Raw genomic sequence first — 27,297 nt, 5'->3', positions numbered from 1 at the left:
AGATGGAGGCAGTTCTACTGGTTTCTACTTGGCCTTTCCTTTGATAATAGCCCACACTCTATAGATCAGGGAGCCAATGTTGGGGTTCTGTCAGTTGCTGAGTACAACCATACCTCATTTATTAACTATGTCTAGAATTTGCTTTAAAGTGTTCCAAACAGAAAAAAGAAATTTTTAAGTGTAGGAGAGTTCAACAATATGGCAAAATATTGATGATATTTTGAAAATTTCAGGAAAAGTTAAGCAAAAAAAAAAGATGACATTGTTGCAGATGGTATCTTTGTGTAGGGAAGGAAAAAAAATTGTAAGTTTTTTGATCATGCAGTTTGCCCTTGTTTGAGACCTGTCTTTTTGGATCATAGTTTGCCCCTATTTTTTTTTTAAATAAAGGCCAACTTCAGTATCTGATTTAAACAAACCAGGCTGGACTTGTTATTCTGGTTTCATCACATGAAGGATACTTTATTGTCTGAGGCTGTGCTTAGCTGTCTTGAATAGCTAAGTTCATCTACCCAGGCATACCTTGTTTTATTGCCCTTTGCTTTACTGTGTTTTGTAGATGTGTTTCTCACAAAGATTTATGGCAACCCTGAGTTGAGCAAGTCTATTGGCACCATTTGTTCAACAGCATATATTCACTTTTTGTCTCTGTGTCACAGTTTGGTAATTCTTGCAATATTTCAAACTGGTTTGATGATTATTACATCTGTTGTGGTGATCTGTAATCAGTGATCTTTGATGTTACTATTTTAATATTTTGGGGTGCGATAAACCACATCCACATAAGGCAACAAACTTAATAAATGTGTGTGTTCTGGCTGCTTCGCTGACTTGCTGTTCCTCTATCTCTCTCCCTACCCTTGGGCACCCCCTTCCCTGAGACACAACAGTATTGAAATTAGGCCAATTAATAATCCTAAAATGGCCTCTAAGTGTTCACATGAAAGGAAAAGTCTCACATCTCTCATTTTTAATCAAAAGCTAGAAATGATCAAGCTTAGTGAAAAAGGCATGTTGAAAGCTGAGATAGGCCAGAAACTAGGCCTCTTGTGCCAAAAAATTGTGAATGCAAAGGAAACATTTTTTTTTTTTTGAGATGGAGTCTCACTCTGTTGCCCAGGCTGGAGTGCAGTGGCTCCATCTCGGCTCACTGCAAGCTCTGCCTCCCGGGTTCCCACCATTTTCCTGCCTCAGCCTCCCGAGTAGCTGGGACTAAAGGCGCCCGCCCCCACACCCAGCTAATTTTTTGTATTTTTAGTAGAGACGAGGTTTCACCGTGTCAGCTAGGATGGTCTTGATCTTCTGACCTCTTGATCTCCTGACCTCTTTATCTGCCCGCCTCGGCCTCCCAAAGTGTTGGGATTATAGGCGTGAGCCACCATGCCCAGCACAAAGGAAACATTTTTGAAGAAAATTAAAAGTGCTACTCTAATCAACACATGAATATGAAGCAAGACAGCCTTATTGCTAAGATGGAGAAAGTTTGAGTGTGAGTGGTCTGGATTGAAGACCAAACTAGCCACAATATTCCCTTAAATCAAATCCTAATCCAGATCAAAGCCCTAACTCCCTTCAATTCTATGAAGGCTGAGAGAGGTAAAGAAGTGCAGAAGAAAAGTTCAAAGCCAGCAGACGTTGGTTCATGAAATTTTAAGGAAAGAAACCATCTCCATAACAAAAGAGCAAGGTGAAACAGCAAGTGATGATGTAGATGCTGCAAGGTATCCAAACGACCTAGCTAAGATCATTGATGATAGGTGCCTACACTAAACACCACATTTTCAATGTAGCTGAATAGCCTTCTATTGGAAGAAGATGCCATCCTTTGAAGCTTTGAAGCCAGTCATTGATTTCTCCTCTCTAGCACTCTCATAGCTAAAGAGAAGTTGATGCCTGCTTTCAGAGCTTCAAAGGATAGGCTGACTCTCTTGTTAGGGGTTAATACAGCTGGTGTTTAACCTGAAGCCAGTGCTTACTTACCATTTTGAAAATCCTAGGGCTCTTAAGAGTTATGCTAAATCTACCCTGCCCCTGCTCTATAAATGAGACAAAGCCTGATAATAATACGTCTGTTCACAGGATGGTTCACTGGATATTTCAAACCCGCTGTTGGGACCTACTGCTCAGAAACAAGAATTCTTTCAAAATATTACTGCTCATTGAAAATGCACCTGGTCACACAAGAGTTCTGATATGTACAATAAGATTAATGTTGTTTTCATACCTAGTAACAGGATCCATTCTGCAGCCCATAGATGAGGGAGTAATTTTGACTTTCAACTTTCAAATCTTATTATTTAAGTTATACATTTAATAAGGCTATCACTGCCATAGATAGTGATTCCTTTGACGTATCCAGGCAAAGTGAACAGAAAACCTTCCAGGAAGGATTCACCTTCTAAATGCCATTAAGAACATTTGTGGCCAGGTACAGTGGCTTGCACCTGTAATTCCAACACTTTGGGAGGCCAAGGCCTCCCAAGAGGAGGTCAGGAGTTAAAGACCAGCCAGGCTATCATGATGAAATCCTGTCTTCACTAAAAATACAAAAATTAGCAGGGCATGGTGGTGCACACCCATAGTCCCAGCTTCTCGGGAGGCTGAGGCAGGAGAATCGCTTGAACCCGGGAGGCGGAGGCTGCAGTGAGCTGAGATCACACCACTGCACTCCAGCCTGAGTGACAGAGTGAGACTTCATCTCAAAAACAAACAAACAAACAAACAAAACACACACACACACACGCAAAACCCAAAGAACAAACAAAAATAAGAACGTTTGTGATTTACAGGAGGAGGTCAAAATATCAACATTAACAGGAGTGGAGAAGAACTTGATTTCAGCCCTTATGAATGACTATGAGGGGTTCAAGACTTAGTGGAGGAAGTAACAGCAGATGTGATGGAAATAGTAAGAGAACTAGAATTAGAAGTGAAGCCTGAAGATGGGACTGAATTGCTGCAATCTCATGATTAAACTTCAATGGATGATGAGTTGTTTCTTATGGATGAGCAAATAAAGTGGTTTCTTGAGATGAAATCTACTTCTGGTGAAGATGCTGTGAACTTTTGAAATGACAACAAAAGATTTAGAATGTTACATAAATTTAGTTGATAAAGCAGTTGCAGGGTTTGAGAGGATTGACTGCAATTTTGAAAGAAATTCTACTGTTAGTAAAATGCTATCAACCAGCACCTTATGCTACAGTGAAAGCTTTCAGGAAAGGAAGAATCAATTGATGCAGCAAACTTCATTTTTGTCTTATTTTCAGAAATTGCTGCAGCCACCCCAACCCTTAACAAGCATCACCCTGATCAGTCAACAGCCATCACCATCCAGGCAAGACTCTCCACCAGCAAAGTGATTGCAACTTGCTGAAAGCTCAGATGATCATTATAATTTTTTTTAGCAATAACTTTAGTATGAATTGGGAAACAAAAAAAAATGGTGTGACTTACTTTATTGCAATATTTGCTTTATTGTGGTGGTGTGGATCCAAACCTGCAATATCTTCAAGGTATGCCTGGATGGCTATACCAACGATGCATCTGGAACTGGGGAAATAACCGTAGGATGGGATCAGGGACCTGCTGGTCTAACTTCTCTGGCTCCAATCTTGCTTTTTCTGTGGAAAATATGGTCATTCTCAAATGCCTCCCAGATATTTCTGGAAGTCCTCATAGACCCTTCTTCACATGTACTCCTGAAACTATATGGCATCTGCCATTTTTTTTTCTTTGTTCTTGCTCTCTGGGATGATTATGCCCCACAACCCTGGCCATTGTTGCTACTGCTAAGTCAGGTTGTGGCTGCTGTTGTCTACAAGGGCACACAACCCCTGCTTAAGGCCAAGGGTGCCATCTTTGTTCACAGCTGAAAATGTGACACAACTTACAATCTCATTGTCTGGCCACTGGAGACTGGTGAAATAGCTCTTTTAGATTTTGCTGAGGAGGGGCTGAGTAACAGTCAAGAATGTGCTCCGAATCACCTTTCCCCTCTAATGATGCCTGTATTCCATCAACAAAGCATGTGCAACTCAACCTCAACCCTTCCTATCTTCAGGTGAATTCTTTCTCAAGAAGGCTGTTTCCTTTTACCTGCCAGTCAGCTAGACCTGTGCTACTCACAACGTGGTCCACAGACTGGGCTGTTGTGCACACTGTTTGCTAGCAAGATAAGTACAGAAATGCCAGTTTTAAGTGTTGAAAAACTTACAACAATTTGAGATAGTAACTTTATGCCTGTTGAATCTGATAATAATAAACTGGGATTGTGATATTTGTATTTTTTTCTTGATTTTTCTAAAAATTTATTGAATTTTATGAAATCTCAGTCTGTGATAGATTATAAATTTAAAAAAAAAAGAAAATAAGATCCTTTGCAATAGATGGTTTAAGAAACTCTGCTTGACATCATGGTCAGACAGCCTGAATTCATAGAGAGCAGACCGTAGGCTCAGCCTGGCACTCTGCTGTGTAGTATACTTGGCTAGGAAGAGTCTGGTAGAAACATGGATTTGCTGCAGTGGATCTGAAGTAGTGGAGAGGGAAGGAAGTAGAACTGACCTTCTCCTTACAGTAGTTCTCTTGCTTTCTGCCTGAAACAGGGACACAGCATAATGCCCTGACCTGCATGCCAAGCCCTTGTGAGAAATAAGGAGAGAGGAACCCACTCTCTTGCATGCCATGTGGTTGGGAAAAGAAGGGTCCTGCCCCACCGAGTTCTCTGATGTCCAGGTGTTCTGGCATAGGGGGAAGGTTTCCCCCAGAAACAGTACAGATGTTCCTTGACTTATGATGGGGTTCCATTCCAATAAGCTCATTTTAAGTCAAAGATATCATAAGGAGAAAATGCATTTAATACCCCAATAGACCCATTGTGAAGTTGAACAATCCTAAATCAAATCATTGTAAGTCAGGAACCATCTGTATTAGCCTTCCCTCACCATGTTGGTGTCACCATTTGTCCAGAGAAAACTGCTCCTGTGGGCCAGGATTTTCCCAGAGGGAATTCTGAGAATAACTGCGAATACTTTGTCTTAATGATAAGCTCATACCTGTTAGCAGACAGGGTATAATGCAGATAGCCCACTCTCTTTTCTCCCATATTCCCCTGCTCTGATCTGCCGTTGGCACAAAACATCCTCCCTCTCTCTGGACTTGGAGAAATAGCTGAGGAACCCTCACAGGCTCCACTTGGGAGTTAGAATCATTTCTTTGCAGGACTGCTGAGGGCAGGCAAAACACCTAGTCTAGTACTAGTTACATAGCAGGTACATGTTAGCTCACCCTTTTCATGTCAAAACCCTCCAACAAATTGTTGTATCCCCTGCTGAAGCACCTGCTCCATCAGATAGCTTTGTGTACTTCTCTTACAGTAATGATCTTATTTACTGCTATATATTGTCATATGTATATATATATACACGCATATATATATATATATGTTTATTGTTTTCTCCATATTCAACTAAGAACTCCTTGAGGCCTTGGACTATTTCTTCAACTTCCAATCCTTTGTGGTTAATAGTCTAACTGAAGTGAATTCTTCATTGCTATTTATGATATTAATCAGTTGTATATTTCTTTCAAGTTACAAATATTAAAAATAAATTTTAATAGCAAAATGGTACATGCACAGCAAAATCATGCTTTTTAATAAACAAAGCCAAAGAATATAAATAAACAGGTTATGTTTTATAAAAGGTAAACATAGTAAAACACAATATTACCCACCCAAAGAAACACATTTGTTTCTAAGAAAACAAACATAAAACTATACATATCCGTGAGTATTCATTTGTAACTTCTGTTTTTTTTTGTTTTGTTTTGTTTGTTTGTTTTTTTGGGACGGAGTCTGACTCTGTCACCCAGGCTAGAGTGCAGCGCCGCGATCTTGGTTCACTGCAACCTCCACCTCCCGGGTTCAAGCAATTCTCCTGCCTCAGCCTCCTGAGTAGCTGGGATTACAGGCGCCTGCCACCATGCCCAGCTAATTTTTGTATTTTTAGTAAAGACAAGGTTTCATCATGTTGGCCAGGCTGATGTTGAACTCCTGACCTCAAGTGATCTGCTTGTCTTGGCCTACCAAAGTCCTGGGATTACAGGCATGAGCCGCCGCTCCTGGCCAGTAACTTCTTACTTTACAAACAACACAATACATTTTAACTTGACATTTGCTTTATCCTATATAATACAAACATAACAAAATACATTTAAAATGTTGTTGAAATATACAAAAATTTAATGTAATTTTTGCGTCTGAGATGTTTAAATAAGAAACTTCTTTAATCAGGTATCCCTTTGGACTGCAAGAGCAGTTTATATCATAGCTTTGCAGCATAATCTTTTTACTCTCAGGCTCTTCAAGCATTTTTATCTTCTTTGAAACTTCTATCTAAACAAAAATAGTATTAAAAAAGATAACAGAAGGGGTTAGATTCTGCCAATGAACTGTGGACATCAGTATCTCATTCTTCTATTTGCCTCCTTATTCTAGTTTGAAAAAGCTTTGGAACACATTATTACCTATCATTATTACATATTTCTTGTAGCTTTAGTGTTACTCCCCCGACTGGAAATAGAAGTTGCTCTTTAATAAGGCCCAGGGTGCTTAGGGAGCAATGCGAGATTTTTCTTACATCTCTTGGGCCAACCCTATACAACTAATTCTGGGAAAGGGATTGTTATAATACACTGTCCTTGAAAAGTTTCTTTCAGTCCATTTGGAGAAATGTTGGATAAAGATAACTTAGTGCTTACAAGTGCTCTATTATTAGTAGTATAATAACAATAATTATTATTAAACTAAAAGTTATCTATTACTTTATCACCCTTTCTCAATTTATGTTTTCTCACTCTTTAAAACATTTACCCCAACAGGGTGAAAATAATGGTTTAAAAATTGTACCTTCATTTACCTTTATTATACTACCTAATTGCCCATAGGACATCTAGCTCTCACAGTTTTGTCATTAGAAGCAAAGGACCTGCCAAATTTCTGAACCTTTTAAAAAGAGAAAATAAATGCCACAAGCATTTTCTATTTTAGTTTTGGAAATGTTCTTTTTTTTTTGTATAAAGGGGGAAAAATTAAAAAAAAAAACCTCTCCCCTGAAAATATTTGATGTTTTCTATCTGAATATAAATCCTGCAGAAGTCATCTAAGCCTCCAAGTATCTGTTTCCTTCTTGGTTAATAGCACAACCTGGATGTCAGACAGGCTGACCATGACTCACAGTGGGACTCTAGGCAACTAGTGTCAATAGGCTTGGGGACCACAATGAGTGAAAACAAAAACCCTTCCTCTTCCATTGTGTGTTCTAAGAGTGAGCAGACCTAAGAGTGGTGGTTTAAGCACTTTCTATCAGAATGGTGATTGCTTCAGTGTTCTCAAGGAGATGGCAACATCATGGAAGGGCAGCAACGTGAGTCAGCAACGTGGTATATGGGTCCCAATCAGCATCTGCTTCTGATTTGTTTTTGAAAGAAAATCCTTAGTCGGTTTTCATTTGAAGCCTGCTGCAGATCACAGCGTCAGGGAAACATTCCACCTTGCTCCTGGGCCAGAGCATTCCTTGGCAAGAAAGATCTATTTAAAGATGAACGACCGAGATCGGATCGTGCCTTCCCCTTGGTTGAGCTGTTTTCTTATTTGTGACTGTAATAAAGTACACACACGTGTATCCATTATTGAGTGATTGTAATGAACCCTGGCTTCTAACAAATATTAAATAAGACATGTTGATTAGTAAGGATGTCATACAACTCTAAGTTAATTATCATGTGCTCACCCCCAACTATAAGCTAATTATCATGTGTCCAGAAAAATTTTCTGTATTTTTTTTTAGGACACATATTGTAAAGTGATTGCTAAAACATGTACAAATTGGGAATTGGTCTAATACTTACAGTAATCTATAAAATGCAATACTATTCAATGAGTTAAAAGGAAGATATAGATCTAAAATTGATAATATGGAAAAATGTTCATAATATATTGCTAAGTGAAGTGAGCAAATATAGAACACTGGCAAGTGATTTGTTTTGTTTGGAGTTTGTATATTATCAATAAAGATGCTATGAACATTATTGTAACATTTTTTAGTGGATACATGCACTCATTTCTCTTAGATATACCTAAGCATGAAAATGCTGAATTATAGTGTAGGTATATGTATAGTTTTAAAAGAAACTGCCAAGCAATTTTTCAAAGTAGCCGTACACATTTTCATTCCCTCTAGCAATGTAGGAGAGTTCTAGTTCCTTCGCATTCATGCTAATACTTGATATTGACAGTCTTCATTGTATCCGTTCTGAAGGGTGTGTAGTGGTACATCATTGTGGTTTTTACTTCTAGCAAGTGATTAAATTTTGTTTTTAAATATTTATGTGTAAAGAGAGAAGTCTAAAAGTGTGTATACTTGATATATTTTTCTATAATTCTTGTATAATGATTTTGTGTTACTTTGATAATTAAAAATAGAAAGAATAAGAAATTAATCCATATCTGAGCAAAGGTTTCACAAGACAAATTATCCCTCACTGATACATTGGAAGAATTTAAAAATGAATGGTATACTTATTTGAATTTCAAACTGAAAACATAACTGAAAGCAAAAGTCTCAGTATCTAGAAAGGAATTTTCATATATATCAGACAATTTTGCAAAAAATAATTAAGAAAAATATTTTGTTTGAAATCATCTGGCCGGGCATGGTGCTTCACACCTGTCATCCCAGCACTTTGGGAGGCTGAGGCTGGTGGATCACTTGAGGTGAGAAGTTCGAGACCACCCTGGCCAAAATGGTGAAACCCCTTCTCTACTAAAAATACAAAAATTAACCAGGCGTGGTGGCAAGCTCCTATAATCCCAGCTATTCGGGAGGCTGAGACATGAAAGTCACTTGAACTCAAGAGGCAGAAGTTGCACTGAGCCAAGATCACACCACTGCACTCCAGCCTGGGCAACAGAACGAGACTCTGTCTCAAAAAAAAAAAAAAAAAAAAATAGAAAAAAAGAAATCATCAAAGTTTTTAAGATGGTATTTATAGGAAATTTTAGTCAGCTTTAAGGACAAGTTCTTGGCTAAGAACTCACTAACTTGCAAGCACATGAAAAACAAGTAGAAGATTGGTGAAGTTTTATAAGTACTCACTCAGTCTTCTCCTCGGGAGATATACAGAGAGCAGACAAAATAAATCAGCTTTTGTCCTTGACCTGCACAAAGTGATGCTTACATTGGAAACTAAGCTAAGTGCCTCTGGCAAACTTTCTTCTCTAACAATTTAAAAGGCTTTTCAACTAGAGAAGTATGTCAGCTTTCCTCTGTCAGACCTTCTGGTTCTAAATGTCCCCCTCCAGACAAAACTGAACTAACTGACACACCTTATAGGAAGTCTGATAGGTGGTTATTAGGCTAAGGCTCTATGTCTAAGACCCAAATATGGCTTAATTCTTTCTTTTTTACAATCCTGTCTCCATCTCTTCTCATGTCCCAGAAGAATTAACAGACTGTTCCGCAAGCCTGGAAGTAGACACCCAGACATCTCTTTGATTCTTGGGTCTAGTCTGACTCTTTTGATAGAAATATGTTTGAAATCATCAACATGTTATTTCTCAAGACTTGACATCTGAAGGCTTAAAAATTCTCACCAATTTCCAGCGTAATATCTTGATCCACTCATCAGCTTCTACTCCGGTCTTTGCACAGAGATAAAATGTCCTGAATGGAAATACCAAACTAATAGGACAAAAGAAAGAACATAAGATATTGCAGATCATTAGCTATATATATATATATATATATAATATATATAATATAATATATAATATAATATATTATATATATTATATATATATATATATATATATATTAGTTGAACACTAATTAGAGTATTGCAAGGGAAAAAAGAATTGATAAAGGATGCAGGTAAGTACCTTGAAGTGCTGGTATATATGCACCTACTCCTGCCAGCAAACTGCAGAAATGTTAAGGAAGTTGTAGATTCATATTATTATTCCAAGTCAGATGTATATACTCGAATAAGACTTTGAAGAAGAAAGAAACATGTTCAGGACACCCCTAGATCCTTTTGTGGTTCATGTCTTAGGTTAACTCTAACACTTATGTATTCATTCAGCTGATCTCTCAAAAACTTGTGCTATGATCCAAAGAATAGGCAAGACAGAGAAGTTTGCTAAAAAGAACTCATTTGTGTTAGCTTGCTTCAACGAGGATAACTCTGCCTTCTGTGGTTGTGGGCAATTTCAACTATTGGGACAATAAAAAGAGACAATAAAACTAAATTAGTTATTTCTCCCATCTCTGGCCAAGAGTCAGTCTCTGCTGCAGGGAATAAGAACTTTCCTACTGGCACAAAATACTTTTCCTAAATGTATAGTAATTTTTCATTTGACTGTGTCTGATTACCTAGTTAAAATTATGTAAGCAATAAGGTCAGCCCTAAATTACATACTGAACATACTTCCTTACTTACAGTTGAGATGCAAAAATACCAAAAATCTTTTTTCTTTTTGTGAAAAAGCCTTCAGAAGGGTTTCTATATCTTAAAGCCTAAGCAGTGTATTTTGTTGATACCAGCAATTAAAGTTGAATAGGTAAGAGGTAAGTCTCTGTGCATAGAAGCTAATACCTGGATGTGAGGTCTAGTGGAGAGTGAGTGGACAGTGGTGGGGAGGGAGTGATACAGTGCATATACTCGAAAACTGGTTTCTGTCATTGTCATTGTTTGGTACTCCCTATGGGAGACATTATTAACTGTCTATTAATACAGATAATTATCCCTTTCTTTTGCTAACAGAACCCCAAGCAATAAATCCTAATTTGTTTAAGCCAATTATGATCAGCTGCTGGGGATGGCCATGGCACCCGGTCTCATAGGGGAGTTTCTGGAGAAACATTGGTTTTCCTGATAAAAAGGGACAGACACGGGTAATATCATCCCTACATCTTTCTTTGTACTTTGTTGAAAATATGAGACCTACAGGTGTAGTAGACACTCAAATCCTGAAGTAGCCAGCATGAGAAAAGGCCAGGAGAACAGTAGAGACCCTGGACCTGACCTTGTCACCATAGCTGCTTGCCTCCTGATTTTTGGATATATGAGAAAAATAAAGCTCTGCTAGCTCACAGGGCATGTCTATGCAAATTTTAAAAAGACACCCATTCTCAGTTGATATTATAGAATTAACATTAATTTCTTCAGTTGTAATAATGATACTGTAGTCCTATATGTGATATTTTATTCTTAAGAGACACATACTAAAGTCTTTAGGAATAAAGTGCCATGATGTCTGCAACTTACTTTCAATTGGTTCAGGAAAAAAAAAAAGTGGATAGACTAGGATAAAGCAAATATGGTAAGATATATTAATAACTGCTATGGAGGGTATGTAAACGTATGTCTTTCAACTTGTGTATGCTTGAAAAACTTTAAAATAAAAGGTAGTGGGAAATAAGACATTCCTTTCTCAAGACTCTTCTCCCAGTTAGAACATTTTTATAACATACTGATTATGTTAGAACAAAATATTTTTGTGCCATTTGCCAGAAATTGTCATAACAATACAAATCACCTATCATTAGAGTCAACAAAGTTATAAATAAAATGAGGGAGAAAGCCTCAAAGAAATTAAATTGTCTAAGATGTGAATGGCATCCTCTATGTGAGTCATACTTCTCCAGTACGCAACATAAGCTGAGCTGACCTGCCTGTTTGTTTAAGCTACTTTAAATGAGGTGTTATGTCACACTCAGCTGAAAACACTCCTTACATGCAGGCATGCCCCTCATATCTGATCTTTGTAGACATTAAGATATACAGCTTTCTATTCCTTAGCCAAAATAAGTGTCTGGCAAGAAGACATTAAAAAACGTTTTCTTTATAAAACAACTTACCAAAAACAGTTTACCCTTTCTTGTGAATAATCGAATTGTACAGCTGAACATTCTGTTAGGTCTAGGATCCGAATTGGTTCTGGTGACTAAATAAAATAAAAAGCAACGTATGTCACCATTAAAAAAAAAAAAAAAAACAGACAAATCTGTCCCTCACTTATTCCCCTCACAAGTTTTCCACTATGTGCAATTGTCATATTTCCTTTCACTAACAGGACTGACAATAGAAAAGCCCTACCAAGGGAAGTCCTTGGTTTTGGAATGAGCCTTTCATAAAACTGGGCATTAAGTTACTACCTTTATCAACTTACTGATGAAGATGGATTTTAACACATGGAAGAGAGGTATATTTTTCTCTCATTTTTTAAAACTTCTACTTTCTTAGAAATGTTATATAAGAAAAGTGAGAAAAAATAATTTTAAATTGGCTTAATGAAATGGGCATGGGAAATGGAGAAACTGTATTTTTAATAAAGGGACAAATTGCTGCAAAGAGACAGTTAATAAATTGTGGCAAGAGAATAATTACATTGTCCTAAACAGAGGGAATTACGTGCCCTGGGGAACTATGGTTTAGCCAATCCAAGAAAGCAATTTCTGGGACATACATCTCATCTTTGCAAAATAACTCTGCTCATTTCAGGAATCAAGAATTCATATCTCCAATCATTTATTAGGTATTTCAGGTGGATATAAAAATAATTTCAGAGATTTTAAAGACCTAAGTTTCTTTCATCTAGAGAATTGATTTTTAAAGGAAAAATATATTATCATGTTTCTCACCATCTGGTCTTTGAAGTATTTCAGTTCATTCCTGTGCAGAGTAAACCATCTTGTTTTCCAGGTCTGAGAAAAACACACACACACACAAACACACAGACACACAAAGTTTTGAATACAGGAATGTAATATTTGAACCAGATGATTTACTTTCATTTTAAAAGTATCTAAAAAATTAAATACTATAACCCTGAAAAAATTCTTTTGTGTCATTTCTGAGAAAAAAGTTTCAAAATATCTATAAAAATTAAAATAATTTCATGCATTAAGCTCAAAAAATTCTTTTGTGTCATTTCTGAGAAAAAAGTTTCAAAATATCTATAAAAATTAATTTCATGCATTAAGCTCATAATGAAGGCAGATATATCATTAGTATATTTTTAAATACAAAAAGAATTAGTCTATCATAAATATTCAATGTGACTTATAACAAACCACTACAATTTCCATTTTATTAACTCTATAATAAAGATAAATATTGTTCTTTGAGTACCTAATATGGACGATATACTATCATTGGAGGCTTTATATATTATATCCAATCCTCACACAACAATGCCAGTATTATTATTCTTGTCTTACAAACAACAAAACTGAGGTTTAGGAACCCTGACTCACATGATATTCTAAACCTTGCCTAAGAACTCCAAGGTATCAGTGGTAAAAACCATCATTGCCCGCTGTTACCTTCTTATATACAAACAGCATCCTACTCTATCCTGGGTGTCAATGTGCCCAGTTAAAAGAAGTAACAGAGGATTTAAACATAAATATGCTATGAATATGAATACTCTCTGTCCTCAGGGAGCATTCGATCTAGAAGGGACACAAATAATGAAATTATTTAGGCTAATTCCAAGCATGTCAGTGTCTGTGAGAGGTTAAATACCGTGACTCTTAAAACGAGAAGGAGCAGACACATTCCATGAAGGTCTTCTTGGCACATTGAGATGAAACAAAGGAATTCTAAAGATACAGTCTCATAAATGGGGAACATTTGGATACTCTGAACTTGTAAGAGCTTAAATTGTGTTTTTCTTTGGATTTTATAACATAGTTTCAGTAGCATCAGTGATGTTTTTGGCCTATCCTTAAAGAAACATTTTATACAATTTTGACTTCTTCCTTGTTTTAGAAGAAGAACGAAAGATGTTCTAGAGTAAACTTGCTATCTTCATCCTCAATCATTCCATTATGAGGACTATGTTTTATTGACTTTTAACTGCAGGCTACACCTATGCAGGGCTTTGTCAAAGAACAGTCAAGTCATTTTCCAGAATTTTGACTAATGAGCCATAAAAATGAACTCTTGAGTCAGGTGAATATTACAAATGGGTTAAAATGAGCAGGCAATTATGCTTCCAAGAAAAACTATCAAGATGAGAATTGAGTCTACATGACGTGTTCTCTTTTTTCTGTGGCTGGCATGAGCAAAACCACACTTCCTTACCTTGACCAGGCCTCCCTGTTTGGTGAGGTAACCTTCTTTGGTGCCCAGCTGAAAAAGAAAAGCACTGAGTGAAGACCAGAACTGTCACAACAGGACGTTTGTCCTTCCTTTCATGTCCTATTTTTAAATGAAGAATGTTTGCTTTTGATCTTTAAATTACTGTCTATCATTTTTCACCTAGGCACTTGAAAAGCTTCCATGTGTTGTGAGAGATTGTTTTCAGACTGGATCTACTGGCATCATTCTGTAGCTCCTAACTCCAGTTAGCAATTTGCAAACAATAAACGACATCATTTCACTTATAAAAGTCTGTGTTTGTCAAGGTGTGTCATGTGAAATCCAGCTGTTTGGATTGTTACAGGGTTATTAGCACATAAACACGCACACATCTACTGTCAATACGTTTGGGAGACTGGATTAAGAAAACTAAAAGGATGTTTTTACTTCAGGGCTTCCCAGAGTCTGTATTATGCTAATATACTTTGTAAATTTTTAAGAGGGAACCTTAGAAATAGCATTTTTACTATTTATTTTATCACATAATCCTCCTCCCCACCCCCACACTCTCTTGAGATCCATGTTCCAAAAAACAGACTGTCAGGAGCGTAGATTTATTTACACCTGATTTACCCAAAATGAATCTGAAATAAGAATGAGCCAGTTCTTTTAACTCATGTTGTCATTAATTCAAACGTAAAAATAATAGCACACACTTAGCTAACACCTACGAAATATAAGGGTGGAGAATTGTGTGAACAGAAATTTGCATAAGACAAGTAGCTTAACATCAAGAAATTTATCATTTCATAAATTCCACAAGAAATTCAATTCGTGGTAGAATATTTTGTTCAAATGTGATGTCATCATATGTCTTAGTAAGAAACAAAATTAACAAAAATTGGGAAGTGATTTGGTTGACACCAAGGTTCTTTCTATGGTAATTTCCAGAATATTTTTTTCCAAGGTGAATTTTCCCAACCAAATAAAAAGAGGAACAACCATCTCTACCACAATAAAAAGAGTTAAAGCAGGAAATAAGCAAACACTTCTTTTAAAATCTTATGATATAAAAGTAAGGATAAACTAACCAAATGTTCACTTAAATAATATTAATCAATATTGGTGAATTTGATATCTCATAATTGGTGTGATTTATTTTAACATTAAATAAATTGAATTGACTCAGTTGAATTCAGGTGTTATAGGAATGGCAAAAAGTAATTATTTTGGGCTGTTGCAGGTTAAAATCTGTAGAGGCAAAATAACTAGGAGTAAATTGTTGTATAAAAGATCCTGATAGAATTATTTACTAAAATCAAGCTAGGGAATAATCCCATCTTACCTCCACCCAAACAATGTACTATAAGTGTAGTATTCTTCTAAGGTTTTGATAGGTAAGCCAAAGGCTGCATGGGAAAGCAATGAGACTATTAATTTTATTCAGGGTCTCCAGATGTAAGAAAGTAAATAATTATAGAGCACATTTATCTTTAAAAATCTATGAACTGTAACAGAAAAGCTGTTTATAAGAGCCCCCATTGGGGTACCATCTAAATGTTCAAAAACAAAGGACTGTCCTTCCTGCCATCCTACTACCTACTTGCCTGCCAGCCTTAAATGAAGTCAGTAGCCAACACAGTTCAGGTGAAGCAAGGCAGGCATTGATGTGTGTGTGGAGGGCTTTCAAGCACCTTAGTACAGGGTGGTGGAGCCCAAGTAGGGCACAGGGAGCCTCTGTGTGGACACTGGCAGTGACAGTGGCAGCAGCAGCTGTGTGCGAGGCATTGAAGCCTGGCAGGGTGTGGAGGGCTTCTGCCTGAAGGGGTGGAGGTGGCAGCTACTGCACAGTTTCAGAGCCAAGTTGGGCTAGGTGGACATCTGTAGTGAGGGTGGGAGCAGCAGTGGCCTGGAACTGAGCATTGAAGCATGACTGGGTGGTTGGAGTGTCGGGGTAAGGGTTGAGTAGTAGAAACAGCAATGGGAGATTGCTTATATTCAATTGATCACCACATAAGTGTACTGAGGATGATAAGATCCATATTTTCTCACTGTGGGAGAAGGGAAAACACTAGAATGAACTTTGTGGTATTGGAAGCATTGTTGTGAACTCATGGATCGATGAATGAATCGACAGATAAATACAGATGTAAAAGTATATATGTGTACATATGTATATACATACATATTTTCCCAGCTCTGCTCACTGAGTGGGCTGGGAGAGTGACATCCTGATAACAATAAGCACATAGTACCTAGATGTCGATTTCTAGAGTACTATTCTGTGGAAAAAGAGCAGAGTTTCTTGGAGAAATAGCTGGTTCTAGAGCTGGGTACAAAGAAAGAACAAGATAAGTCTGGATCATCTTGCTATTCAGAAAGTAAGAAAGTTCTTAAAAGAATTTTGAGGCCAGGCCAGGCACGGAGGCTCACAACTATAATCCCAGCACTTTGGGAGGCTGAAGCATGAGCATTGCTTGCACCCAGGAGTTCGATACCAGCCTGGTTAAAATGGTGAAACCTTGACTCTACAAAAAAAAATAAAAAAATGAAAATACAAATATTAGCCAGGAGTGGTGGTACACACCTGTAGTCCCTGCTACTCAGGAGGCTGAGGAGGGAGAGTCACCTGAACCCAGGAGGTCGAGGCTTCATGAGCCGTGATCACACCACTGCACTCCAGCTTGGGAGACAGAGTGACGGAGTGACACACTGTCTCCAAAAAAAAAAAATTTTTTTTGAGGTCATATGAACACAGACACCACTTGAAAGGGCTCTTTCCCCGACTGGCCAAATCAGGGAAATTTTGAAGGATCAAAATAAATAATGATAGTCATGATTATAACCATTTGATATAAAAATGATTGAAAATTTTGAAGAATAAAAAGCTTTTCCTTACAGTAGAATGACAACCAATGAATGTAAAAAGGAATAAGAAAATCAGAGAGTCATCGTTTGGTAACAATCATAGTAATGATTAAAACAGCCAAGACACATCAGTAAATGCTAAAATTGGCAAGTAAAAATTTAATAAGTAACAGAATATTCTTATAGTCTCAAATAACCTCACCCCAAACATTTTTTAATAACAAAGGGAATATGGTGACTTTAGAGTGAAGAAACCTGGCAGACACCACTTAAGTAATCAAACACACCATTATGAGACAGATTGCAATTGTGTTCCATCTGAGAAGACACAGTGAGAAGCACAAACAAAGCATCACTTTTGTGGTATTTGTAGCCAACATGAAAAAACCTGTATCTAATCATGATTCAATATCATATAAACCAAAGTTGGGAAACTATTTACAAAATAACTGGTCTTTAATTTCAGATGTGTCAAAGTCACGAAATTAAGGAAAAACTGAGGAAGTGTTCCAAAGTGAAGAATCTTCCAGAGACAGGACAGATAAGTGCAACTTGTGCTTGAGGACTGGATCTTTTACTCTGACGGAACTTACTGAGAAAACTAGTGAAGCTTGAATGAGATCTGTGGATGAAACAGTGGCACAGCCTCAATGTTAATTTTCTAGTTTGGAAGGCTCTATCTGGTCACGCAGGCAAATGCCCTTATTTTTGGAAATACACACTGAAATATTCAGGGTGATGGGGCATCATGTAGGCAATTTACTATCAAACGACTTGGGGAAAACCAAGTTCTGTGTACTATTCTAGCAATTATTCTGTAACTTTGACATTATTTCAAATAAAAAAGCATGTTAAAACATAATAGTGGATTAACTGAATAAATTGATATACTCAAATAATGGAATATTATGGAATTTGTTTAATGGTGTTCCAGAAAACTAAGTAATTACATGAAAAAAATTTTAAATATATAGTTAATTAAACAAGAATATTACAACTCTACAATGAAGAGCTCATTATTTTATGTGTGTGTGTGTGTGTGTGTGTGTGTGTGTGTGTATATACATACATATACTTTTTTTTTTCAAGTAAAAGACTGAAAGGATAAGCAACAAAATGTTAAACCTGAGAAGAGTTTCAAAAACAAAATACTGGAAAAGGGCAACGTGCAAGGAAAGTATCCAAGAAGAGGAACTATAAAATGTGTCAAAGATTACGGAATAAAGACAGAAAGATGTTGCCAAAGCTAAGGAAACAGAATTTTTAGAAGGAGGGAGTTGTTAAAAACGTCAAATACCACAAAAGGGAAGCTAAGGAAACTAACATTTTAGATAGGACCTATTATGTCAGGAACTTGAACTATATTAATCTCAATCTCTACCAAGACAACTAATTGGTATTTCTCATTTAACATGTCCAAAATAGAGCTCTTCTTTCTCATCCCCTCAACCCACCCCTCCTGCAGAGTTAGCCTTCTCAGTAAATAGCAGGGCTTCTCTGCCATGACTCTGCTACTCTTTCTTTCGTGTATCACATTCAATCCATCTGCAAGAATTTTTTTAAACAAGCTCAGAAGGTAAAGAATTCTCATGTTATGTACAAAAGGTACTACTGAGATTTTGGGCAAGATAATTCTCTACCACTCTTTGAAGAATAGTTAGCCCCTGATCACTGTTGGGAAATAATCTCCACGGGTCTCTTGTCAAGGTTCCAAATGTCTTATGAGCAAGGCATTAACAGTTCTTTGCTGCAGACTGATATTTAAAGTATGCTTATACAAGCAGCCTTGGAATAAAGAAATATTTCCCTTCAGAACAAAAGACATGTCTACTGATCATTAGAAAAGATTTGGGTTCCCAAGGCTCAGGGTTCCTCTCCTGTAGGGCAACCCATTGTGGATATCACCTGGCCCTTTCAATATTGCCCTTTGGGAACTTCGGCTCAGCACAGGGAATTAGCATAAATACTGATATCCTGGCTGTTGCTCTTCCTGTGAATAGCAAACTATTTTTCAACGCTTACCCAGAAGTCTTGTGTCATCCATCAGCATACATGAAACTGCAGCAGGCTAACTTGTTAGCTTGCAAGCAGAGTAAAGTCAGACTCTTCATGGCTCTTGACACTCACGCATGATAGTAGTGCCGCAAAGCAATGCACCAACAGAAACACTCATATTTCTAAATGCTCAGCTGGGAGGTGCTGCTCTTTGAAAACTCCATTGCCTTATGTGATCTGACCCCTCATTACCTCAATAATCTCACCTTCTACAACTTTTCCTCTAGCTCACTTCATCCCGTAATTCTGACCTTCCTAGCCTTTGAAGCACCTCAATTTTGTTTCCACTCCAGGGCCTTTGTACTGTTTCCTCTGCCTGCAGCACTCTTTCCACATCTTGACATGAGTCACTCCTTCCCTTCAGTGAAATCTCTTACTAATGGTTCCTCCTCACAGAGGCCTCCCTTGCTTCCCTCTTCTCCCCTTATCCTACTTTTTCTTTTCATGATGTATTACTGTCTGGTATCAGATTACTGCATTGATTATTGTCTGTGATCTTCACTAGAATGTGAGCTCAGTGAGGGGAGGAGGACCTTTGTCAAAATTACTGCCAAACTCCCAGTGCTTAAAACAGTTCTGAGTGTATTGGAAGCACTTTAAAAAAAAAAAGTTTGTTTAATAAATGAATTAATTAAATTTAATCCTATCATGGGAACTCAATGCTATGTTGTTTATAAGACATAAATAGCAATTTCCCCAAATGCAGTTACTAAAAGATGTTAAACAGTTATACACAGTCATCTGCATTTCTGGGCAGTGGGGCATCTTTCACTTTCGCTTCAAACAAGAAGTTCTTTTAATTCTCTTCCTCCACTGCTAGACCTTGAGCAAGAACTACACCCCAAAAAGAAAATGCAGAAGTTTGAAAACCCTCAGGGCTCTCAGGCTGGAGATGGAGGTGCAGCATCATGTAGCCATTTGGGGTAGCAAATGAAGGCTTAGAACTTGTGTTCAATAAGGGACAAGAGCATTCTGATCAGACCAGAACTCTTTCCCCAGCAGCTATACTGGTCCAGTCACCAATGATTCCCCAATGAGAAGTAATGAGAAACATTTCAGATCCTCTAGGAAACCTTTACATTTTTTTTGTCCATAGTGATGTACAATCAACTTCATAAGCTTGTCATTATATAGTGTGAGTTCAAGTCATTGTCAACCAATCACTCACCACTATTTTAAAAACTCCATTTTAAAAGAGGTGAATCCATCTGATAGCTGGAGTGAGAAAAGAAGGTAAGTAACAAGGTTTCCAGAATGTGCTTTAAAGAGGTTTATTTCTGCATAAGGATACTATATCTTCTGCTCACACCAATCTCACAAATTAGGTATTATCTGCATTTTATTGCCGATAAAGAACACGCTTAATAGGACATGGTTTGTTTGACCTTGAGTGGAGATCTTTAGGGGAAGTGTAGCAGAGGAGAATGTGAAGTTAAACTAACAGGGCAAATGAAAGAGATGTTGAAGTGACTGGTGATCTATATTAAGGGTAAGGGTGGGTAAAGAGGAAATTATGAAGGGACTGGACAACTGGAAAACAAGAATTGGTTGCAGAGTAGATCTTGATTTGTTCTTTGGTCTTTTCTGCCTTTGGACTATTTATTGTCTTGCACTCCTAAATTTCTCAAGTTCTGAGTTCTTGATGCCTTCTCCCCCACTTCTAACAAAGCCAAAATAACTTTCTCAGTCAATTTTCAGGATTTTTATTTCTGAGGAGATGTAGCACTGCAATGAATATGTAAGATGTGCCATGAGCCAGGCTAGGCTGTAAAGCTGCAAGGACAAGCAATGATTCATGTACTTAGATGTTTCTGGCTGGTGGGGAGGGCAGAGAGATGTGAAGGTAATTAGCCCACAGCATGGTAATTTTAGAATAAAGGCAAACAGAGGGTGCTCTGGAGCACAGAAGAGGAGCATTGTAAAAGAAGCTAGTGGGGGTGAAGAAAGGCTTCCTGGAAGATAATGATCCGTGATACCAGTCTTGAGGGATGAGTAGATAGCAATGGTGTTGGCAGCATTTCAGATGTAGGGAGAGGAGAAAGAGCACAATGTTGAGAGAGACAGGTTTCACAGTGTGAGTGTGGGAGTAGCATGAGATGAAGACAGAGAGGCAAGCAGGGTCCAGGTGGGCCATGAACACAAAAGGCATCACCAAAGGATGTAAAGCAGAGGTCATGTGGCAAGCCTTCTTTTTAAGAAAGATCTCTCTGGTCAAGGGTAGAGAAAAGTACTGCAGATATAGAAAGTTACACTTATTTTAATATAATTTGTAGCTGAATATCTTCAAGTGATTATTTTTCAAGTGTCATGATTACTATCCAGAATTAGTTCTTGATATTTATTTGGGTATTATCTTCTTTATCATCTGCCCAAATAGAGGTTTCTTATACCAGGAGTATTCAGCAAACAAGGAAGAGACAACAAATAGAAGGGCCTTCAGAATAATGAAGGGAAAAGGGTGTTGGAGAGGAACCTCTGCAGAGTCACAGTTCACAGAACAAACATAAATGGACTCTTGGACAAACAATGAGTGCTCCAATTGCACTGAAATTGAACAATGGCTCACGTTGCAAAGAAGCACAAGTGTTTTCTGTCTGTAAACTTCAGTCAGTAAAGGAAAAAAAGCTAGAAAAAATAATACCCTGAGTTTTTATAGTAAAGGTGGAGAATATTTGTCTTCCATAGATAGTTGAAATATTTAAAAAAATATATTTTCTTAATATAAGAAAATTGTAGGAGAAAACAGTTTAGAAAACTATGTGAATGCAAACTTCTCTTTTCCATTCTACTTTGAAGTTGTTTGGTTAACTAAGGACAGAGATTTAAGTTCCATTTTCGAAGTATTTAAAATCCTATTACTATTGCATTGCTTTCATTTGTTCGTTTTGAGACAAGGTCTCACTCTGTAACCCAGACTGGAGTGCAGTGGCACAATCACAGCTCACTGCAGCCTCAACCTCCTTGACTCAAGTAATCCTTCCACCTTAGCCTCCTGAGTAGCTGGGACTACAGGTGCATGCCACCATGCCCAGCTAATATTTTTTAAAGTTTGTTGTAGAGATGTTTATGTTGCCCAGGCTGGTCTCCAACTCCTGGGCTCAAGCAATTCTCTTACCTTGGCCTCCCAAAATGTTGGGATTACAGGCATGAACCACCATGTCTGGCTGCATTGTAATTTTTATGATCTACCCAGGACCAGATGAACTGAGTCATAGGCTTCAAATCTCACATTCCTTTCCAAGTTTTATATTCCAAGCTAGAATTTTTATGTGAACAAATACACTCTTATTAACTTTTATTGAACTTGATTGATTTTAGACAGGGAGAGAGCTTGTGGTCACGTTGAAGGTCACTTACAGAAGGTGCTGTGGGCACAAGGTCATCTTCTGTTCTTCCTGTCTGCATTGCTGTGTGAACCCGGACAGATTCATAAATGGAGGGTTCTTCCACTTTTCTTGGGTAGGGATGTTTTAGAACCATCAGAGTGCCTGAATGAAGATGAAAAATATATAATCGAACAGTGTTCCCAGAAGGAAGGTCCAAATGCTAACTGGATAACTGTGGCTGGATTGGAAAGTCTTTTGTTTTTTTCATGTATTCCCTCGCTCATTATCTCAACAGTTATCAAATACCAATTAGGTATAAGGCACTTAAGCTGGACACTGAGATATAAAGCATGATGGAGATGTTCCTTGGCCTCCTGGTGCTCAGAACTGGTAACAGATATGGTCGTTTAAATGAACAGGGTGATGAGACCAATGGCAGCCGTGTGAGCAAAGCATGATAATCATCCCCAGACTGCTTGAAGAACCTTTCCATGAAAGGATTCAGGACAGCTTTCATAAAGGAGGTGACATTTGATTTAGATCTTAAGTAGTAACTGGAAGTTTTCCAGGAAGGCTTTATGAAAGCCATGAGAACAAGACTAAACAAAAGCACTAGGGTAGAGGAAGATCCATTCCATTGCCCTTATTTCCTATCAATCAGTTTCCGAATAAACGTGTAACAAATTAGTGGATTTCAAAAAAGTGAGCATTCTCCCTACTCTCTGATACTACCCAATTAATGAAAGTAACCAAGCAAAGTCTTTGCATTACTAAGTGAACATGACCTGAACAAGCTGGTGCTCACAAGTGATTGCCTCCTTCCCCTTCCATCTGGAGAGGGGAGCCTCCAGGCAGAAAAAGGGCTCAGCCCAGGGGGTCCAGGCATGGGGGGCTGGGGAACTTTGTTCCAAGGGCTCAGAGCAGTTCTGAGTCTATGTTTCTGACATTTCCTTCTTGAAATCCTTCCCTCAATCAATCAGTCAATCAGAAACTAGAAACTAACTACAAAAAGAGGCAACTTAAGGGGATTTTTTTTCTTCTTGCTATGGTTTCTTGCTTTTAATTTTACTAGGGTCTTTTCTATAGCAAGCCTAAGATTGTACCAGACATGGAAGAGATGTAAAGAATTCAGCAATTCATTCAACGAATATTTACAGAGCTTTGCACTCTGCCAGGCACTTGTCTAGGTACTGGGAATGCAATAGCACACAAAGGAGTTTAAATGCTCTTATCGAGCTTATGTTCTAGGTAGAGGAGACAGAAAAAAAATTTAAAAAATATTTTATGTGTGAGAAGTGTTATGGAAAAAATGAATAGGGCATGGTAAAGGGATAGAGAATAGAAAAGGTAGGGTTGGGAGAGGGTGATATTTTACAAGGGTCATCAGGAAGGGCGTCTTTGAAAAGATTTGAAAGATCTGGAGAGTATAGAACCTGAATTAGAGTAAGAGTGAGAAAATGAAAAAGAAAAATGTCTCCTCTGTGGTTAAAAAACACCCTAATGTTAATGATAAATCTACACAAAACAGGCCGGGCACAGTGGCTCACATCTGTAATCCCAGCACTTTGGAAGGCTGAGGTGGGTGGATCATGAGGTCAGGAGATCGAGAGCATCCTGGCCAACATAGTGAAACCCCATCTCTACTAAAATACAAAATAAAAACAAAAATAAATTAGCCGAGCGTGGTGGCAGGCACCTGTAGTCTCAGCTACTCGGGAGGCTGAGGCAGGGAAATTGCTTGAACCCGGGAGGCGGGGGTTGCGGTGAGCCGAGATCGCACCACTGCACTCCAGCCTGAGTGACAGAGTGAGACTCTGTCTCAAAAAAAAAAAAAAAAAAAAAAAACTACACAAAACAAAACCTGTCTATGATACTTGAATACATACAATGTCTGACTGCAAAAACAGAACTGTGGCTTTTGATACTTGGGCCCAGATAAGGTGCTGCTGTAAAATGAAAAGCTGTTGAGAAAAGCCAGAAGAGGGTGTCTGATCTCGACCTCAGAGAAGAATGAAAGCCTCTGGCCCTTCCTCTTTCTGTCTCTCATTGGCATTGCAGCATTGGGATCACAATGAAAAACAGATTTTGCCATTATCAGAACCGTCCCATTCTTGCACATTGTGCTCTCTTTTGTCAATGTGATCTTCCCATAAGAACAGATCCAGTCATATGAGGAGAAGGGGCCGGCTACAGTTTTACAGTCAGAATGAAAGCAGCAGTACCTATATCAAGAGTAGCTGCTGTGCAGGCTCAGGGGCTCTGTGAACACAGTGCTCACATTGTAGATGCATGGTAAATTCAGCGCTGGCTCCCAACCCTAAGAAACACTCCCAGTGATGTGCTTCATAGTCACTCTGGACCCTTGGAAAGAGCACTGGATGCACAGGCAGAGGAACAGGGTTCAATTGTCACTACCGCCATTCAGTACTTATCGGCCTTGGACAACCATTACAAGCTTCTGCTCCTTACTAGTGAGAATAATTATGCTTCCTTCAGAAGGCACCAAATAAATGTTTGTGGGAGAATGATAACATATTAGATATTATTATTCTTTGACAGAATATTTTTAAATCCTTAAATAAAATTTGAATGATTGCATCTTTGGGGACATGGATTTTGAAATCTTAAAAAAGACCTAGACGCAACATTCTGCTAGGAATAAAAATGGTGGTAGTCTAGTAATCACTACTTGTGATTAACTATAGTTAAATTGGTGCCTCTCAAACACTTTCACCTTACAGAAGAGGAGAGGGGAACTGAAGCCTAGGGATCAAAGCAGCTCCCAAATTAGATACATTTTGAACTCTTATACTTTATCTTCAAAGTTGATGCTTAATTTTCATTCTACTTCATATATTTAATACTTAATATGAAAATAATGCTTTAAATGACACTCCAGAAAGATGTACTTAGTTGATACGACCAGGCACACACTTCACATAATAATACCTGTGTTAATTTTTTTTTTTTGAGGCGGAGTCTTGCTCTGTCACCCAGGCTGGAGTGCAATGTCACGATCTCAGCTCACTGCAACGTCTGCCTCCCAGGTTCAAGCGATTCTCCTGCCTCTGCCTCCCAAGTAGCTGGGAATACAGGCATCCACCACCACACCGGGCCAATTTTCGTATTTTCAGTAGAGACGGGGTTTCGTCATGTTGGCCAGACTGGTCTCGAACTCGTGACCTCAGGTGATCCACCCGCCTCGGCCTCCCAAAGTGTTGGGATTACAGGCGTGAGCCACTGTGCCTGGCCTAATTTTTTATTGCTATTGTAGCAAATTGCCACAAACATAACAGCTTAAAACAACTCAGATTTATCATCTTACAATTCTGGAAGTCAGAAGTTCGAAATGGGTCTCACTAGTCTAAAACTGGCAAGGCTGCTTTCCTAGTGGAGGCTCTAGGGAGGATTCATTCCTTTGCATTTTCCAGCTTTCAGAGGTGCCCTCATGTCTTGACTTGTGGCCATTTTCCTCTGTCTTCAAAGCCAGTAACAGCCAGTCAGATCCTTCTCCTGCTGCCATCTTTCTGGTTCTCTCCCTTCTGGCTCCCTACTACTTATGAGGACCCTGTCAATTACAGTGGTCTTACTTAGACCATCTAGGATAATCTCCCCACCCCAAAGTTATTTGATCAGCTGCCTTAATTCCATCTGCAAACTTAATTCCCTCTTGCCATGTAACAATATATTCACAGGTCCAGGGAGACATGTGGACGTCCTGTGGGGGCATTATCCTCCTACCACAGTATCAGTCCCTGGAGGAGAAATAGCCACCGGGGCCAGTTGCGCTGCAGGGTAAGGATCTCTGGGCTGGGCTGCTGCCTGAGCCTGCAGTGCTGTCACCTCTTGGTATTAGACAGCCACTGCCTTTCCAACGTGTGCATTTCCAACCTCTGTGAGCCTCTTCAGCGCACCTATCAGTCAAATTTATCTTTGTATCCCTACCACTTGATAGAGTTTCTGACATAATGAAGGCAGATGAGTGAATGAATTAATGAATGAATGCTACAGTAATGCAGGCTTGAACCAAGAAAGAACCTGGGATGAACCAGCCTCCCAGGTCCACAATTCTCCAGGCCTGAGGCAAGAAAGGACAATAACCGCAGGCATAACTTTTCAAATCTCTGTTGGAGGAACCCAAATTCTATTTTGAAAACCTCCTCTAAAGTTTAATTCAACAAAAGTAAAACAAAGGAAAATGGCATTGAGTCAACCAAGAGAGTAAAACTGACTGTAGATTGATTTTAACTAGTAACCCCACAAATGAGGCTAAACTAAATTGTGAGATGAAGATGACAAAGTACTTATAAAACGGCAACTTATACTGATAAAAATCTGGTGTCCTAAAAGACAGTTCTCCTTAGATGACTATTCTTGCCCAAGGAAGAGCCAATATACAGACTTCTTGGCATGGCTGTGAGGCTTAATGATTTCCCCTTCTGCAGAGATTGTACCTCCCAGTATACAGAGATAGGTTCCCTATAACCATGTTATACCTCCAGACCTGGCCCGGCCCTCGAATACCTGACCTGGTCACACTAATTGGATTCACTTCTTGGGGATCCACTTAATTGCTTCTCTAGAGAGAAGGTCCACCAACTCAATTTCTGAACTACATGAAGTAGACTATTGTTTCCTGCCTTTGACATGAAACCTGGTTTCAGAAAGGCTGAGCGGAGGTACACTTCTGAGACGATCAGAGATGAATCAAGACAGACACATCAATTGACTGAAAGCCTCAGACTTGCCATGATTACTAAGCAGATTCCTTGTTGTCTCTTGGTTGTTCAACTTGCCCTTAAATTCTGGGAGGGTATATTGTTAATATCCTTTTAAAAAATTCTGCTCCTGGGCAGGGCGCGGTGGCCCATGCCTGTAATCCCAGCACTTTGGGAGGCCG

The 27,297-nt window shown here is 38.5% G+C and overlaps 1 protein-coding gene across 7 annotated transcripts in view; it reads right to left on the bottom strand.

Moving 5' to 3' along the window:
- Positions 1–3,443: 3,443 nt before the first annotated feature.
- Positions 3,444–27,297, bottom strand: part of DAPP1 (dual adaptor of phosphotyrosine and 3-phosphoinositides 1) — a 55,507-nt gene continuing 31,653 nt past the window's right edge. For 2 of the 7 annotated variants that reach the window (NM_014395.3, XM_011531843.4), the window contains 6 exons: positions 22,429–22,559; positions 14,152–14,199; positions 12,705–12,767; positions 11,922–12,007; positions 9,656–9,743; positions 5,587–7,660 (listed from right to left, as the gene is read on the bottom strand). In NM_014395.3, coding sequence (NP_055210.2) covers positions 7,592–7,660; positions 9,656–9,743; positions 11,922–12,007; positions 12,705–12,767; positions 14,152–14,199; positions 22,429–22,559 — 485 coding nt within the window. In that variant the 3' untranslated portion in view covers positions 5,587–7,591. Of the gene's footprint in view, positions 3,624–5,586; positions 7,661–9,158; positions 9,221–9,655; positions 9,744–9,940; positions 10,052–11,921; positions 12,008–12,704; positions 12,768–14,151; positions 14,200–22,428; positions 22,560–27,297 lie in introns of those variants that run through there. The other 5 variants (XM_017008024.2, NM_001306151.2, XM_017008023.2 and 2 more) reach the window with 5 other exon arrangements.

The sequence above is a fragment of the Homo sapiens genome, chromosome 4 (genome assembly GCF_000001405.40).
Source record: "Homo sapiens chromosome 4, GRCh38.p14 Primary Assembly".
Classification (NCBI taxonomy): Eukaryota; Metazoa; Chordata; class Mammalia; order Primates; family Hominidae; genus Homo; species Homo sapiens.
Note: the sequence above shows the minus strand (reverse complement) of the source record. Positions and strands in the feature narration are given on the sequence as shown.